The 18,030-nt window shown below is 43.5% G+C and overlaps 1 protein-coding gene across 9 annotated transcripts in view; it reads left to right on the top strand.

Annotated features, from left to right (window-relative positions):
• Positions 1 to 18,030, top strand: part of TENM4 (teneurin transmembrane protein 4) — a 788,202-nt gene that overhangs the window by 652,957 nt on the left and 117,215 nt on the right. For 6 of the 9 annotated variants that reach the window (XM_047426739.1, XM_047426737.1, XM_047426736.1 and 3 more), the window contains 2 exons: positions 991 to 1,176; positions 16,936 to 17,082. In XM_047426739.1, coding sequence (XP_047282695.1) covers positions 991 to 1,176; positions 16,936 to 17,082 — 333 coding nt within the window. Of the gene's footprint in view, positions 1 to 990; positions 1,177 to 9,445; positions 9,473 to 16,935; positions 17,083 to 18,030 lie in introns of all 9 variants that reach the window. The other 3 variants (XM_017017525.2, NM_001098816.3, XM_047426738.1) reach the window with 1 other exon arrangement.

The raw sequence follows: 18,030 nt of genomic DNA, 5'->3' as shown, positions 1-18,030 counted from the left end.
ATTTTCATGTGAATTTGAAGCATGTGGGGCCACGAGGCATGAGAATCAAGTCAGTCTCTCTCCCTCAGAGCCCTGGCAGAGAGCTTCAGTGGACATGGTTGCTCAACCTGTTTCCTAAAGAGCAGTTGTATTTTGGAAGACTTTACCACCGCTCCCTGCAGTAAGCATGAAGCTGTTGCTGGCCTGGAGCCTGAGGGGCTTGTGAATCGGGCCCTGTGTGTTTTGCACCATCTCACAGATGTGCCTTTGTGAAGGGTGGGCAGCTCCACTCTGGCTATGAAGGGCCCCCCTCCAAACCATTTGCTTTGGATCTGAAACCCCATTTAGATGGTTCTTGGAGTTGGGGTGAGGAAGCAGGAAGCTGAAAGAGAATAAACCCAGCAAAAGCTCAGAACAAACTGCAGGTTTTGGACAACAACCTAGAGTATACTCATGGGGTTGGGGTTCAGCCTCCCTCCCGCACCCCAACCTCAATCAGAGTCCAGGCCGTCATGAAATGCAGGCCCCAGAACTCATCACGTGCCCAGCCAGACCACAAGCACTTCATTGGGCGAAGGGGACTCATCCTTACTTTGTTTTCACACATAACTGGTTTTTAATTACATTTGACTTTTCCTGATGTCTGTTCAGAATGCCGGTCCCCTTTGGAAGGGGCAAGCACAAAGGCAGGGACAGGTTGGCAAGAAGGAGAAGCAAATTGAGCAGAGCCCTACAATCCTTCCTCTTTTGGTGGGGAAACAGGCACAGGGCAGGCTTCTGCCCAGAGAATTGTTCTCATCTGAGGGTCATTGTCCACGGAGATTAGTCTCGCGAGCCTCTGGAATCCTGATCTGTCACAGAAGCCCAGGTATGTAGCCAAGTGTGACTTTGGTTTCCAACAATAACTTGCTCAATACTTGTTGTTTTTCTCTCTCCTCTCTCCCCTGCCCCTCTGGCCACTGCCTCCCATCCTGGCCCTGGTGTCCTCCCTTCTTCTGCTCCTCCCCACAGAGATCTGTGCTGCCGACTGTGGTGGCCATGGCGTGTGCGTAGGGGGCACCTGCCGCTGCGAGGATGGCTGGATGGGGGCAGCCTGCGACCAGCGGGCCTGCCACCCGCGCTGTGCCGAGCATGGGACCTGCCGCGACGGCAAGTGCGAGTGCAGCCCTGGCTGGAATGGCGAACACTGCACCATCGGTATGGCGGGCCGAGGTCCCCGGGTACCTTCTCTGGTCTGCAGGACATCTTTGTCTGTTGGGGCATTTCAGGGCCAGCCTGGGCCCTCATCGCATGTGGGGATGGGGAAGAAAGTCCTTTCATCTGGAGGTATTATGACTGGCATTTCCTAGCCATCGGTTGGATTTAAACTCACGATTTGGTATTTTCAACCTTATTACTCCCAATTTCCATTTCCCATGTCCTGGTTAGCTGGTTAGCACACCTTGCTCTTTAGCTCCTCCAAGGCTACATGCGGTATGGATCTGTGTCAGGGAGCTCTGTGTTGAGGAATGAGGCAGATGAGCACTTCTTAGCAGCTATGGGCAAGCCCCGTCAACTTTCTGAGCCTCAGTTTCCTCACTCGTAAGATGGGGATAATAATACATGTGAAGACCTTAGCAAAGGCTGGCATACAGTGGAGTGCCCAGTACATGCAGCCATTATTATCCAATGCATTATCTTGCTGGGATGGCTGGGGCTTAGCTCTGAGCCCTCCATGCCCACTGGGCTCCTAGGTCAGAATTCCCCAAGAGGTCTGGAATCCTGGGGAGAGCTCCCCACAGGCCCTAAGGCCACATCTGGAGTCCATTAGGCCTGGGATCTTCCCCCGTCCTCAGCTTCCATCCTGTCTGCATTTGTCTCCTTTCCCCTCCCTTGGGGTCTCCTCGGCACCAGCTCCTGCTGAAGCAGCTCTGAAAACAAGCTGATCACTTCGTTCCCTTCCTTCTGCCTTTCCTGCCGGTTTTGTTGATTTTAAACTCAGCCAGACGTTTTGCTTGGTTTATTATCCTGGAATGAGCACTCACCAAAAGCTCTTTATTGAATCAACCGGTTTGTGTATATATGTGTGTTTTAGCTTCTTCCCCTTCCGTTTTTGTTTTTTGTTTTTTGGTTTTTTTTTTAAATGAAGGGTCTGTGATCAGATGGTGAGCACATGGCTTTAGAAGGCAGGATTCCAGGTACCTTTCTGGCTTAGAAAGTGACCTCTTGGGTCTTAGAGAAACTGGAAGACAAGCCCCACAGCTTTGGAGAGACAAAGGAATTTTGAGCAAACAGAGCTACCTCTTACCCCTTGAGGGTTTTTTCAGTCTTCATTGTTTTTGTTTTGAAGCCTAACATTAGTTTGTATCCTTGGTCCCTGCCCCTGCAACATCCCTGGGTTTTGGCCATGGAATACCTTACATTTATTAATATTAATAATAATAATGGCTTCTGATTTTTAAGTATTCACAACGTGCCGAGAGCTGCACTAAGAACTTTAGCTGCATTATTTTATCCTCCTTACAATCACCCTGTGAAGCAGTATGTATTATTTCCTCATTTTCAAGGACCTGAGGCTTAAGGTCACGGAACTTCAAAGAGGTAGAGCAGGAATTTGACACTCGATTTTTCCTTACCAGCTGCTTACTCTGCAGCCCTTGCACGATAAAGTCCTGGTTTTCCACTGAGGCATCTGCTCCTGTCCCTCCTGGAGACTGTGCCCTGTCGTGGCAGCTGCACTCAGAGTCCCTCACCTAATCTGCCCAGCCTCCACCCTCAACAGAGCCACTCCATCACAATGGCAGCCACTGCAGGTTGTGCTGCGTCATGTTACTGTGTGCACCTTGATGGCTTCTTTATATCGGTGTCATCCTCCCTTACACTTGTCCTGGAAACCCCTTAGTGAGAAGTGGCCCTGGTCATCTGAGGGGGCCTCTTCTTTAAACTCTGCTTTCCCCTCACCTTCCCTTTTCTGCATGACTGAGGATGAACCAACCTTTCAACCTCCCAGCCCAGAAGAAAGCCCACACCTATCTAAAAAACAAAAACAAAAAAAAAAAACAAAAACAGAAACAAAAAAACCAGAGCCCAGAGAGGGCCCATTCTGTTTGCTGTCTCTTGCTTACAGAGTCCTCAGCTCATCTTACCAAACTCCAAAACGTTTGCAAATGTTGGACAAAAATGTTATAAGATAAACGCATCTCATCTTAGGGAACCTCTCCCTTCGTCTAGTCACACATGACTCATGTTGGGGCTTGTGGGCAGGCTGTTTTACAGGCAGTGTTTTCTGGATATTCATCAGCCTGGCCTTAAGAATGTCCCTTTTATTTTGATGCCAAGAAGTCAAACCATCCACTTCTACCTCCCCTGTATGCTCTGTTGTCGCTCTTCTAGAACAGATTCCACCTTGGGGATGCAGATACCTTTTCCCCTCCAGATAAGAAATACATCAAAGTAAATGTGCACAATATAAGAATAAGGTTGACGGTCCTAAATACCAAAGAAATGTCATAGGACATTGAAGAAGCAATAGACTAGTCATAGTGGCTCAGCTGAAAGGACTTTGGCTGGGAATTCTATTAATACCTCTCATTGTGTGGTGAGCATTTTCTTCGTCCTTGTCTAATTTTCCTGCATGGTAACCTTCTCTCTGTGGGTCTCTGCCCGTGGCCAGCTGCGTCCCCATGAGAAACTCACCACCCTCGTGCTGAAGGAACACTTCAATAACCCTGTAGGATATAAGGGAAGGGGGAGGGGAGGCAAAGTAGAGAAACAATGGTCCCATCCTTTTCTTGTTGAAATAGAAATGAGAAGGGGAAATCCATTTTTAGTCTTTGATGGTAACAAGAAGCATTTCCTTGTTTCCAGAGAACTTTACTCCCTGTGAGAGTCATTTAGGAAAAGAAAAAAACTGCTGATGTGAAAAGTTAGAAATTCAAAGTGTTAAATTTTCTCTTGTTATCAGATTTCATTATCATACAATAGGTCATTATCGTGTAGCTAGCTCCTAGCTGCAATAGTTATTTCCCATACCAGAGAAAGAGCTGGTATCCATGACACTGATTTCGAGACCTCTAGGCAGTGGAAGCAAAAAAAGAGGGCCTGTTTATTTACATACTGCCGACCTGCGTAAACAGGAAGGAATGGCTTGATGACCTTACAGCAGGAATACAGAATTTAAAGAACAAGACAAATCTGGGCCCCTTATGGCCAAGTCCCCAGCGTTAAGAGCCTTTTTACCCCAGTGACATTTCCCAGAGCAGATTATTATAGTAGGAATTAAATATCTTCTTTTGGAGCCTTTGGCTCACCTTATCTTTCATGGAAGCTACATGATTCTTCTCAAGAGAGGTTGGTTTTCAGAATGAAAGGGAATTTGACAGTGGCATCCTCTTCAATGACAGTATTTTTGTCAAACAGCAAAAATATTTCACATTCAATCCTAATTCCTTATGTTAGGAATCACCTGTCTCTTTGCATCTTGAAGAAGGGTCTTTGGTAAAAGCACCAGGGCCAGACCACGCAGTTGCCTGAGGCTTTAGTTTCTCTATCCATGAATCACAGAATGGAGTGGCTGGAGTAGGTCCCCAAGGGTGACAGAAGTTCATCCCCCTCCTCCACTGCCCACAGAACTGCACACCCATCAGCCCAAAAGTGAGTCACCTGCTCCTAAAAATATCTCATGAAGAAAAAGGGATTCTTCATTTTTACTGTTACTTACATGGCACTAATACTCCCACTTGCATATATGAAACCCAGTTTTCCTAGTCCAGAAGTCAGGCTAAGATGGATTGATTTGGATCTGTTTCTCAAGTATATGATTGACAGAGAGTCACCAAGTGCATATTTTTGGATCTTTTCAAGGAGTTTTATGGATCCATGAAGTCTGGTGCTTGACCTCTGATTTCCTTTGAGAAAGCTGAAAATCGTAGTTAAATTTAACAAGGCGTTTAATTTTTTTCCTATTTCTTTGAAAACACTACTAACATTTTGGATCAATTCTATCATGGTTTTTCTATTTACCTCAGTGCCCCTTGTCTCTAAAGTAAAGAAAACACCTGTAGAAAATGCCAGCTTCTGATTACATTAATAAAATTCCAGCTTGACTCTAAAGCTGTGATTGTTCAAGATACCACATATACAGAATTATTTACCAGACTTCAGGAGAGCTGTCCAATCCTAGAAGTCCTGATTTTTAAACAAAAGCTTCCTCTGGGGGTAAAGATCAAAATGATACCCTGAAGATGCAATTACTTGTGTGAGTAAAACCAGACTTCCCAATGAAGAGAAATTATAAAGAAAAGCCACAAAATCTTCCGTGCTTTGTCCAGTTTTTTTTTTTTTAAAAAAAAAGACAGAGTCTCACTCTGTTGCGCATGCTGGAGTACAGTGGCACCACCTCGGATCACTGAAACTTCCGCCTCCCAGGTTCAAGCAATTCTTCTGCCTCAGCCTCCCGAGTAGGTGGGACTATAGGTGTGCACCACCACACCAGCTAATTTTTGTTTTTTGTTTTTTTGAGATGGAGTTTCACTCTTGTTGCCCATCCTGGAGTGCAGTGGCACGACCTCGGCTGACCGCAACCTCTGCCTCCCGGGTTCAAGTGATTCTCCTGCCTCAGCCTCCCAAGTAGCCGGGATCACAGACGCCCGCCACCACACCTGGCTAATTTTGTAGTTTTAGTAGAGACAGAGTTTCTCCATGTTGGTCACGCTGATCTCAAACTCCTGACCTCAGGTGATCCACCTGCCTCGGCCTCCCAAAGTACTGGGATTACAGGCATAAGCCACCACGCCTGGCCTAATTTTTGTATTTTTAGTAGTGACGGGGTTTCACCATGTTGACCAGGCTGGTCTCTAACAACTCCTGACCTCAAGTGATCCACCGGCTTCAGCCTCCCAAAGTGCTGGGACTACAGGCACGAGCCACCACACCTGGCCCTTTGTTTGCTTTTGAATGATAGCTATCAGATTTCTTTTTCATAATCAGAAAATCCTTAACCAAGAGCCCACAAATCACTCATGAGGTATAGGACCCTGTGATAACGCTATGGTTATCCCTCCTGAAAGCATTCACTCACAACAGGACCTGTGGTTTGACAAGACAGATGCTGACAAGGAGAAAGAGAAAATGTACAGGGATCTACCTCAAGTTATCAGAGCACAAGTTTAATTTGCTGATGATCCTGGGAGACTTCAGCCCACACGTGGTGGGGTGGGAATCTGGCTTTGAATTTCTCTCAGTGTGGGTGTCACTGACCACTTATCCAAAGAGAGAAGAGCACTGATGTATCCAAGAGCTTAGCAAGAACATCTCTTTGGTGGTTTGTCACCCATCCGAAAGAAGTTCAGATGACTAGAACCGCCAACCCATCACCTGCTGTAGTGATCCTTGTTTCTTGTGGCCTAACATGTACCAATGATGCAGCCGTTCGAGTTGCCCTGAGGCTCCTGGAGAGTAAGAATGGAAAGCCTCTTGCCATGTTCTCCATAACTTTGGATAGGGGGCCCCTGAAGATTCTTAAGATTATCCCAAGAGAAACTTTTGGAAACCTCTGTTGGTAGAGGCAAGTCAAGGAAAGAAGTTTTATGTTGGTGATCAGAGAAAGGCCAAAGAGAGCTAAGACCGTGCAGACCAACCTCATGCCAAAAGCTCAGTCTGTAGCATAAATAGCTATAGTACCTTTATTATCTCCGGCTTTTCACACAGAGATAGGAACATAGTAGGAGTATGAGAAACATTTGTACAATGCCAAAGAAACAAGCGTTGCCCAAGAGAAAAGATGCCTACTGCCATCATCTTCATCCTGAAGTTCTGAAGAGAAAGATGCAGGAATTGATGAAGTCCTGAATCCACCTTTCATAATGCAAAGCTTGCATCATCTTTTCTAAAAGTTGGTACTTTAAAATCATGAATTTTTAAACAACTGTACTCAACAGCATATGTGCCAAGGTTTTCAAACAATAAAAGCAACCACAGTATGGACTTCCGCATATGCCTTTTATAAATAAATGGCAGTAAAGTTCAAAGACCCATTTGTCACTCCCATTTTCAATAGCCAGAGACAAGGAAGCTCCATTCCATTCCCGGAAAACTCATGGACTTGGTATTAACTGGCTGTTACCAGCTTTTGGATTCACAGTGTGGCTCGGGGGCTCTTTGTAGCAAAGGAATCCCTTTTGATTTGTGGAGTCAGGATTTGAAGTTTTGAATGTCTACTTTTGTCTCCTGAAAACTCACAGTGCTGATGGTAACCTGAGCCTGCCTCCATCATTTCCACTGATTTTCTTTCCTACCTGTGGTCTGGAGAAATTAGTAAGAATTTTTAAAGGTATCAAAAACATATTTTCACTTAATAGTGCTCTTCATGGTTATGTGGTTCTTGAAAATGAAATGGCATTAGAAGAGAGAGAGCTCTCTTAAGTCAGCCCCTGGCCCTGGGGAGATTATCCTGTAGAATGGATATAAGCTTCACTCACCACCAGAACCACTATACTACCATTAAGTTTGGAGACAATCAGGAAAGTTTTTTTCATCAGAGAACTCCCTCACGGTGGAAGCTATGACCACTTGGATCCCAGTGATGGCATCTCATCCAGCCTAGCCATCCCTGGGAAAAAAAAATCTAGGCTCACTACACCTCTTCTATAACTGGATTCAGAGTTATTATAAGAACTTATAATTGGGACCCTCCAAAAAATTCTGCAGATAAGAAAGCTAACAAAACCACAAGAGCCAGGTGATTCTATGTATTCATGCCCTTTGATAGCATATCCTGGGAGATGAGATATAAGAAATTTTAGACCACTTTGCAAAATTAGATAAATTAGCTTGACTAAGACTAAAGTGACAGATAAGCCAAGAATCAAGAAAGATTTCCCTTTAGCCAGAGGTATTTCCTAGGCCATTTTTCGTGTGGGCTGTCCCCATTTTTCATTGTTTGGCATTCCATAGCTTTGTTTACTCACCCCTACTTAATAAGTACTCTCTTTCATGTTCCTATCTTGTATCCTGCATCTCATGGACTCCACGACATCTGTAAGAATGAAGAAAAGCATGTAGCCTCAGTTAAAATTTCCTCTTCCCAATTTTCCACTTGGCTGTGCAGGCTCCAGAAGCATATTTCATCTTGAACCAGAGACCACACGGATACCTGAACTAAGAACACAGCCTCTCATCCACTAGTCTTTGAGGCTAATATATAGTGATGAACAACAATATCTGTTCTATCCAGAGAATTGAAAAAATATAATTTATGGTTTTTTATGAAGAGAGTAAGAATATTTAAAGAACCCTAGGGATTCCTGATAAGGCCACACCGTTGCAGTCCGGTCCTGTCTGATGGACTTTTGATTCATGTGTGAAATTCAGCTGGGGCTGGAGTGCAGCCTGGCTGAAGGCATCAGATCCTTCAGGAGACTGCCCAGCTACCCGGCCTTTGCAGAACACACTAGTAGGAGGTGTGGAGAGACAGAGAAAGAGAAGCTCCTCAAAGAGCTATAACTACAGCCTAGGGAGGGCAGGTGAAATGGTATTAGTGATTCATGCTGGGAATTAAGAGGCCTGCCCTGCTCTAAACACACAGCCAGACACCCATATATAGACACAGTGGGGTTTATTTCAGAGCAACCTTTGATGCTCATCCTCAAATAAGCAAAACTTTAGAAGGCCAAATAACTCAAGGCTTGGATACAACCCCTCCATTGGAAAACAAAGCACACATCTTTCTTTAGGGTTAATAAGCATTGAGAAGTGGTCAGATTTTCTTTGCTTTGTCTTGTTTTTCACAGTGACATCCATTGACCTGCACCTCATAGTCTGTGTACGATGCACAAAGGAGGAATGCATCTTACTTAGAACGCTAAGCATTTTGCATTCAAGCATATGTGGGCACATGTGTACATGGAAAATTCAAGAATGGCAAACAGATAATCCAGCAGTATATTTGACCAAAGACTCAACCCCCTTCACTAGTGCATATCAGAGATGATTCAAATTTTGCGTATTTCTAAATTCCAACTTCTTGGAAAGGCCTCTGCCGAGATGGGGTACCACTTGTTCTTGTTATGGCTGCTTCACCTGTAGGGAGGTTGGATGCTGCTCTGAGTAGTCAAAGGGACGGGCTCTAGTTTTCCGTAAAGCCAGACGAAGCTGGCAGAGCAGGAGTGTGGCCACTTTTGCAGTTTCCCATCCTTCTTTGTCTGTTTTCCTTATTCATATGTCTTCTTGTTTCTGTGATCACATTTCCAAATGCCTGGATCACAGAATGAGTTGAAGTTCCTTTTGGCCATCCCTGGAGAATGCTTGCTCTCCCTTCTCCTCTCTCATGTCATCCTGTCTTTGGTTTTATTTTCCCCACCATGGCATAGGCCTGTCCCAAACGTGGGGCACAATCCCTTTGTCTGTGTAGCATCTGGCATGGTTATGTGGCAGGCGATATTGCACTTACTGGATCCTACCTTAAATGTCCTGTCTTTTATCTCCCTAGCTCACTATCTGGATAGGGTAGTTAAAGGTATGGTCTTCCTTCCTCTATTTTCCTGTTGTCTTTGTGTGTGTGTTTGTGTATGAGTATAAAAGAAGAAATGTGTATATAAAAATGTATATACACCACATAAGCATGATGTCTGGAAGCTAATGCATCCCCAGTTTTGTCGCAGCATCCATTGCCCAAAGGGGATGGGTTTTCGGTCACAAGGTGGTTGATATACCTGGAGTGTCATTCTCCCCACAAGATGCTCAGATCTGTTTGTGACAATACCATTGTACTTTTGTTTTTCCCTCCCCCCGCCCCACATACATACACCTTTCACTCTTTCCACCCCATCTCATGTCACCCTGCCCATCTGTTATGGCCCCTGGTCCACCAGAATTAAGATGCTGGCAACCAGGGTGGGTGGCCTGAGAAAGGAAGAGACCCAAGAGCAAGTTAAGAAATTTTAAGGACTACTTTCTAGTACTACTGTGTTCATTCGTCCAACGAGCATCTATGGAGCACCCACTGTGTACTAGGCACCTGCGCCAGGGTCTGGAGACAAGGGGACAAACAGATCCCTGACCTCAGGGAGCAGATGGTCTGTTTGTTTATTTGTTTGTTTTCCTTTTCAGAGAAGGCCTGACTTTGGTAAGTTTTGTCTTTGAAGAGTGTTCCCTAGAGGCAAAGTAATTCCTTCCATTTTAAACATTTACATTAGTTGGGTGGTACCTGATTTTCCAAATAGGCCACATAGCTCTAAGAACAAGTCTCAGAATAATCAGATATGTGTGCTCTGAAAAGACTCTAAGCTCCTTGAGGAGAAATACCATGTCATATTCATCTTTTTGTTCTCAGGCCCTAACACAGCACCTGGTACAAAATGTGTGCTCTGCAGATAGGGACACATATTCTAGAGTCAGACTGCTTGGGTTTGAATCCCAGCTTCAACACTCAGGGAACTAAGTGACCTTGGGCAAGTGATTTAACTTCTCTTCTCTTGCTAACAGGACCCACCTCATAAGGCTAGTATGAGGATTAAGTGAAGTAACAAATACAAAGTGCTTAGTATATAGGCAGGAATTATGCTCAATAAGTATGAATTATACTGCTTTATCATCATATTCTTATTCTTATTCTCACCCTTAATTTGAAGAAGGACTTCATTAGCTAAATTAATTTTTGAAACTGTAAAGGAAAAGGCTAAATTGGCTTTTAATAAGAGATAGCAACAGCTGTTTTAAAACTTATGGAAAGGGTTTTGGGGAAACATAACTGACTAAATGCTTTTCAGCTAGGACAGCTTTGCCAAATACAGCAAAGGTGTCGCATAGGATCCAACAGATGGAGGAAGAGCAAGGGTCTTCATATTTCATGTGCTGGTCCTCAACTGACAATAAAATCATTCCAGCAAGAAAGAGTAGTACTTCCTAGCCTCTTTAAAAACAGGCATTTCACACATTATCATTAGCAGAGGACTCTTCAGGGTGGGCTAAATTTTATCATGTTACCATCTATTTGATGGAAAATTTTCCTACTATGTGAAGTTTTTTCACATCCATGAGTCTTAGGTGAGTCATGTGATTTTTTTTTGAGGGAATAGATATAATGATACCCATTCAATTGAAAAAGGAAACTGAAGTTGAGGGAGTTGAATGGGTCATCCTGGCTCACACTTCTAATAAGTAGCAGAACCAGGACTCTGCATTTCCTGACTTTATCCATGTTTCAGCATTCTATCTTCTGTCACCATAAGTCACCGAGAATGTCCATAATTTCCAGTATATTTTCCTCCACACCACATCTTCCAAACTGGCACCCTTACTGGGAAGTGGCCTATATTCTTTCTCAAATCACCTGCTCTGCTCTTCAGTTCAGAAAATATCATCACCAGAACTTTAGTTGGATTAGGTCAATGAATCATAACTTGTTTTAAAAGGCAAATGTTTCTTGGCAAAATCAAGGTCTGACCCAAGCCCTCATCTGGCTGATATTTTGGTATAATGGATACTAATTCTAAAAAAATAATTCAGAGATCTGTGTCATGGAAGCTCAGGTCTTGTCAGAGTAGAGTACTTTACTGTTCAAAGATGGGCCGGATTTTGTTCATTGCTTCCCAGTTGCTTTGGTAGAGACTAAAGAAACAATGTTTACTCAACAAATATGCTGAACTCCTAAGTGGTAGGAAATATGAATACCACATAACAGATATGGTCCCTGCTCTCAAGGTGCCTGCAGTCTAGCAGAGAAGACACTAAAACCAATAATTCCAACAAAGTGTGATGAGGGTTATGACAGGGGAGTCCAGAGGCTACCACTTAGCAAGTAACCACCCCACTAACTTGGATTGTTGGGGCCTTATAGATTGCGGAATTTAACATGAGGGTATAAGAAAGCGTCTGAAGGTTTTTAAAAGCAAGATGATAACTAGGTCACATTTGTGATTTGGAAGTTCAGTCTGGCCCTATTGTGAAAGGAGAATTGAGGGGGGACCATTGAGAACAAGAAGACCGATTAGCAGACTATTGCTGTCATCTAGGTAAGAGATGATGATGGCTTTGTCTAGGGAAGTGAATATGGAGAGAGAAAAAAAGTACAAGAGGACCAGTAAGAGAAACATAAAGAAATGGGCCATTTGATATATGATAAGTGTATTGCATAGAATCCATGCCACTTAACTAAAAAATAAATACCTTCAAGGATTCTGAAAGTCTTCTAATCATACCTGGTGCTAGCTGCAAGGGGGACTTCTTCATAGGCCTAAGCAGGAGATTGAAGATAAAGTGGTCCCTTGTCATTTAAAGGGCATCATTTCTTTTGAAAAGCTTTGTTAGCCCTTCTCTAAACTTTAAAATTACATTACTTTGACTCTAGCAAATGCCTGGTGTGAGTCTTTCCGAAGGGATTATTAATGTCACGTGGGCTGTCTGAATTATTGATGAGTTTCAGGGTTTGCGGAACTAGCCTCAGTGGGTAAGGACGGGCATATTGCTTTAAGAAAGTCAGCAAGTCATCCTGGAAGAGCCTTCCTCATGCTGGCTAATGGGGGTGTGATTATCCTGGAAGCAAATGGCTGGATGAAAGCAAACCTTGTTCCACCCACAGGTACTCAAAGTCCCTCTGAAACTTATAGGATACTGCAGATCTTCAGGGTATCACTTGGTCCATTTGAAGAAATTGACTGTGGATTTCCACATTTGTGATTCTCTGTGATTCCACATCTAGAGCTAACCCTCCCTGAGAACACCTGCTTCACATCTTCCAAACTGGCACCTCAATGATTCATTGACCCAATCCCACTAAAGGTCTGGTGATGATATTTTCAGGCAGCCTCAGAGCAGCATGGACTATGTGCCCAAGATGCCATGTGCCTACAGGAGTTCACTAGAGCAGGGCTTCCCAGAGGGGGTTCCATGGAATGGAATATTACACAGGTTACTGGGTGGGGTAAAGAGTTCTGAGGTCAAATTGGATAATGCTCTAGTAATCGAATAAGCAGCTTTCTTTATTCTAAGACTTCTTGGAGCCTTTAATATATTGATATTCAGTGTGACTTTCTACAATAAGAATATAGGATGCAACGTTTTCCAAACTTATTTGACTGCAGGAGCTTCTTCTTGAGGACCTCATAGAACTACTATTTCACAAGGTTCACTTTCAGAAGTATGGTTTGTGATTATAAGACCTATTTTAAACCCTTCCTGGAACAAAGTATGGTATAAATAAAGAGAATGTAAAATTTTTTAGGGCAGATGATATATCTCATCTCTGTGAATTAACACAAAGTCCAGCATCCACCAGGTACTGAGTAAAGTTTATTGAATTTAAGAACAGAATCAACTAACTTGACGTTGTTTTGACCTTCTCTATTGGGTCAGTTATGCTGGAAGGACCTAATGGATCATCTCATCCAAATCCTTATTTTATAAATGGGGAAACTGAGGCCCAAAGAGAGAAAGTAACTTTCCCAACTCCCCCCATATTAGGCCAGAACGCAGGCCTCTTGTCCCTCTCATTGATTTATTTTAACAAATATATATTGAGTGTCTGCTACATGCAGGCACTGGTACATTCTAACGGAAGAAGTAAGACAATGAAACTAATTGCAGAATTGATCATTTCAGTATCCTTGGGACAGTTGCTATTGAGAGAAGTACAATATGCTAGGAAAGCATGAATGGTGGCCTGCACTGGGACTCGCAGCCCTGAACCCATCATGCCGCCTCCCACTGCACTGCATGTTCACGGAGCCATGAGGCAAGCCCAGTGTTTGTCTTGACCGTTTTTGGCAAGGATTTATTTATAAGGACCATAGCTTTTGACCTAAACGTTACACAAGTTGGGCTGGCAAAGGTTTATTTTCTTGTTTATGAATTTCTTAGTGAAGTTATACAAACTTAAAACAAGTAAATCCAATAATAATAATAACAGCTCTCATTTATTGAATCCCTATGTATGTTACCCACTGTGATAAATAATTGATATATATTATCTCATTTAATACTCTCACATACTCTTTGAATCAGGTATTATCTCCATTTTACAGATGAGAAAACTGAAGCTTAGAGTGAAGTAATTTGCCAGTTGTAACACAGGTAGTAAGTAAAATGATGGTGCTAGGATTTGAACTGAGGTTTGTCCACCTCCAAAGTCCTCGCTCTATTACAACACATGGCTTTTACTAAAAATTTAGGATTAAATGGTGTAAAATTGGATCTGCCCTAGAAAATCAAGATCTGAACATTTTTAACAAAAAGTTACTTATTTTAGAAATCTATATAAAGTGCCTAGCACAGTGGCCAGTCCTAGTAGACCCTCAGTATGTGGCAGCTGTCATTGTCTCACTGTCCTGAAGCATCTAAACCAGAGGTTGGCAAATTACAGCCCACAGACCAAATCGGGCCCATCACCTATTTTTGTAAATCAAGTTAGTTGGAGCACAGCCATGCTTATTCATTTAAAAGTGTGTATGGCTGCTTTCAAGCTATAACGGCAGAGTTGAGTAATTGCAAGAGACCATATGGCTCACAGGCCTAAACTATTTATTCTCTGGGTCTTTACAGAACAAGTTTGCTGACTCTGATCTAGATAACTGCCTCAGTTTCCTATTTTGCCTTTCTGTGAGCCCCACCTGAGGTTGTGGGTACAACATATGATATTATATGCCCTCTGCCCAAAATAGAGAGAAGGTAAAGGTGAGTAGAAGATTCAGATATTGTCTTTGAGCTGTATGCCAGGCTTTGTGCATCATGCATACCTTACTTAACCGCCCCCAAAACCCCATTTTATAAGTAAAAAGACTGAGGCTCAAAGAAATTCAATAACATGCCTGAGTCATACAGCCACTGAGTGGTACAGGCAAACTTTGATATGCCTCTCAAGCTTGTGCTCTTACGTAAGAGATACTGTTTGCATCTTACAAGAGGCTTTATCTTACAGCAAAAGAAAGCAGTCAGCTACCGTTGTTAAAGATCAGACCCTACTTCCTCCAGGACTAATTCCAAATACAAACCAGGCTTAATTGAAAACAAGTCCCGGCTGGACGGACAAAAATTGACATGAGACTAATTGAGGAAAAAAGAAAGCTGTGATTGCTTAGATCACTAATGGTGGCTGATGTTGGCAACCAAGTCAGATTGCCTGGATAGCCGCCTGTGTGTCACAGCTCTGCTCCTGGGGCTCGCTTTTAAAACTTCTTTCTCAATCACTTTTTGGGGTGGCCATGCTGGTAGCCTCTCATCTTTCCCAGCAGGCTTCTGCTATACAGAAACCCATAGTCTACATACACTTCTAACTTCTGGAGGAATCCCTCCGAGGCTGGAGTACACAATTGTTACATGTTTCTTCCTTTGAATGGAAAACACAGTGGCCAAATTGCTTGGTTGTTGTGTGGAACATCTCAAGTGGAAATAAACATGTTATTTTCTTTTACTTTGGAATAACAGTCAACTATCAAAAGTCCTGGGAACACTCAAGTTTTAGATTCTGATTGATCAGCCATTTAGTGAGTGGCTATCTTGGCCCAGGTCTTGTACTGGACAGCCACTTTCACATTTGTTGTCCCATTTAAGAATAATGAGTCAATTTCCCATTAATTCATGGCAGAAGATCCAGTTTGTGGCCATATTTAGAGCACTTTGCTGCTCATAATAATAAAACAAATGAAGCTTTATAGCTGACACAGTGCTTTCACATCCATACCTCTCCCAAGACTGAGCAGCAGCAGAGAGGAGATGGAACTCTTGCCAGTGACAGGTGGTTTTTGATAGCCCCTTGGAGAAGGGGGTTGGCAGGATTGTTAATATAAGGACTTGAGTGAAAACCAAGTGGCACAATAGAAGCTGAAGTGAACCACGTAATTTAACATATTCTCAAACGTAGATTTCTGAGCCACAAACTCGGAGAGGTTTAAAGATGTGGCAATCAAAAAACCTGCAAATCTACTTTAATAGTATTTTTTAAAAACTTCCCCACTTTATAATATGGTCCAAGCAGAACGAACACAGCATCTAAATATTGCCTGACCCTTCTTGATCAAATCATCTACAGCCCTCTCAGATGGCCACACCTGTGTTAAGTTCCCACCATATTTTGTACGTCTCCTTTAGGGCATTTAGCAGTTAAATTTTTTGCCTACATAAATTTGTCTCCTTTGATAGGCTTCATGCACCTCATGAATAAGAACGGGTCTTATTCATTTCTGTACCTCCAGTGCTAGCCCAAAGAAGATGCTTAATAAATGACAGACAGGCAGGCAGATGTGCATATGAGCGTAATGAGAGCAGAGCAGCCTGGCTGTACCTGCGTTGCACTCACAGACAGCCCTAGTTAGTGTTTCACAATGGCGATCACAGCTCCTCTGGGTGCAGGGCCCTTTTCTAAGTGTAGCTGTAGACAAGATGTTAAGAAAAAGCCCCAAGCCCTCTTCCTCAAAGCAAAGACAGTTGTTTAGGAGAAAATAAGACAAAATAAATGAAAAGCCTAGGGTCCAATAAAATTGACCTACTACAAGAGTTGGAAAAAGTAACACCCTTTAGAATGATACCCAGAAGTGATGAAGGAAGCAAGGAATAAACAGAAAGATGTTTCCTTTGTGCTAAACAGCCGCCAGAGATAAGAGGAACACATGAGAATGAACAAGAAGCAAGGATCAGGCAAAAAGCTCCATTGGTTAGATTCTGATAGGCCAACATCCACTGACTCCGGCTCCAGAATCCCGGTCACTTTTGAAAGAGGGGCTTTTAGATGCAGAAGGTGTGGGTTTCAGCCCTGTCCCTGCCGCTTCTGACTGTGCGACCCTGGCAAGTCCTTTCACCTCTCTGAGCCTCAGTTGCCTTCTCTGTAAAGTGGCAATTCCTAATGATACCTACCTCCCTGGGCTGCTGTGGGCATTCGTGTGCTGATGGATATGAAGGCATTTTGCAAGTTGGCAGGTAGCGTGTTAGTGTGTGTGATGGCAGTTGACTCTGGGTGATCAGACCTCAACCCTGTACTTTGTCTTTCAGAGGGTTGCCCTGGGTTGTGCAATGGCAACGGCAGATGTACCTTAGACCTGAATGGTTGGCACTGCGTCTGCCAGCTGGGCTGGAGAGGAGCTGGCTGTGACACTTCCATGGAGACTGCCTGCGGTGACAGCAAAGACAATGATGGAGGTAGGGCTCTGGCACCCATGGGCTCCAGGCGGCTCCAGAGGGTGGGAGGCCCAGAGTGGAGAATGGATATTACTGAGCTAACAGGCCACCAACACACCAGTCATCCAGTCAGGGGGACCTGCGGGGCAAGCAAAAAACTGCACATGTGGCTTAGGGATGAGTGCATATCACAGGTGTTCCATTTGAATCAATTGAAATTAACTAATGTAAATGAAAGTAATTGATATCCAGCAGCCACTATAGAAGAGAAGGCATATGGAAGAAAGAGGTTTCTAACAATTCAACAGTAGGATGAGATGTCTGGCAAAGTTATGGGTCCCCCTCACTGGAGATGGATAAGAAGAGACCATCTAATTCTTTATCACAGAAGCTGCAGAGGGACGCTTCTCCCAGGGAAGGAGGTTGAGTTACCTTTGGTCAAGGTCTCTTCTCCTCTGATTCTGGAGGTTACCCTCACTGCACACCAGCAGACACCTTTTGTAATAGAAATGGCCTTTGCTTTGGGTTTTTTTAAAGTGCTAGACAGTCAAAGCCCAAGGAAGGAGGTGCTCATCTTTTAGAACATTCATTAGCTGAGAGTGAAGACCTGGGTTCTAATTCTAGTTCTGGCTTTGACTCCCTGTGCATCCTTACACATGCTGTTTGGTGGCTCTGAGCCTCACTCTCCCTATTTATAAAATGAGGCAGCTGGCCCATGAGTACCATTTCAGTCCTTATCTTAGTCGTAGAATTAGCCTTCATTTTTCTGTTGCATTCACTTGGGTAAATACAACCATAATGTGTTCTACTTTCCCACTTGGAAGATACATCAATCCTTCCTGATTCTCCCACTCACAGGTGGTTATTAGGAGAATAAAAAGATAAAGATATGAAAAAACATCAAAACAGTTAACCCTTTCTTCCTAGTGATGGCCTAACAATTGGCTTAGTCCCAACAAGTCTATGTGG

This window comes from Homo sapiens, chromosome 11 (assembly GCF_000001405.40).
Source record: "Homo sapiens chromosome 11, GRCh38.p14 Primary Assembly".
Taxonomy (NCBI): domain Eukaryota; kingdom Metazoa; phylum Chordata; class Mammalia; order Primates; family Hominidae; genus Homo; species Homo sapiens.
This window is presented reverse-complemented; position numbering and strand designations above follow the sequence as displayed.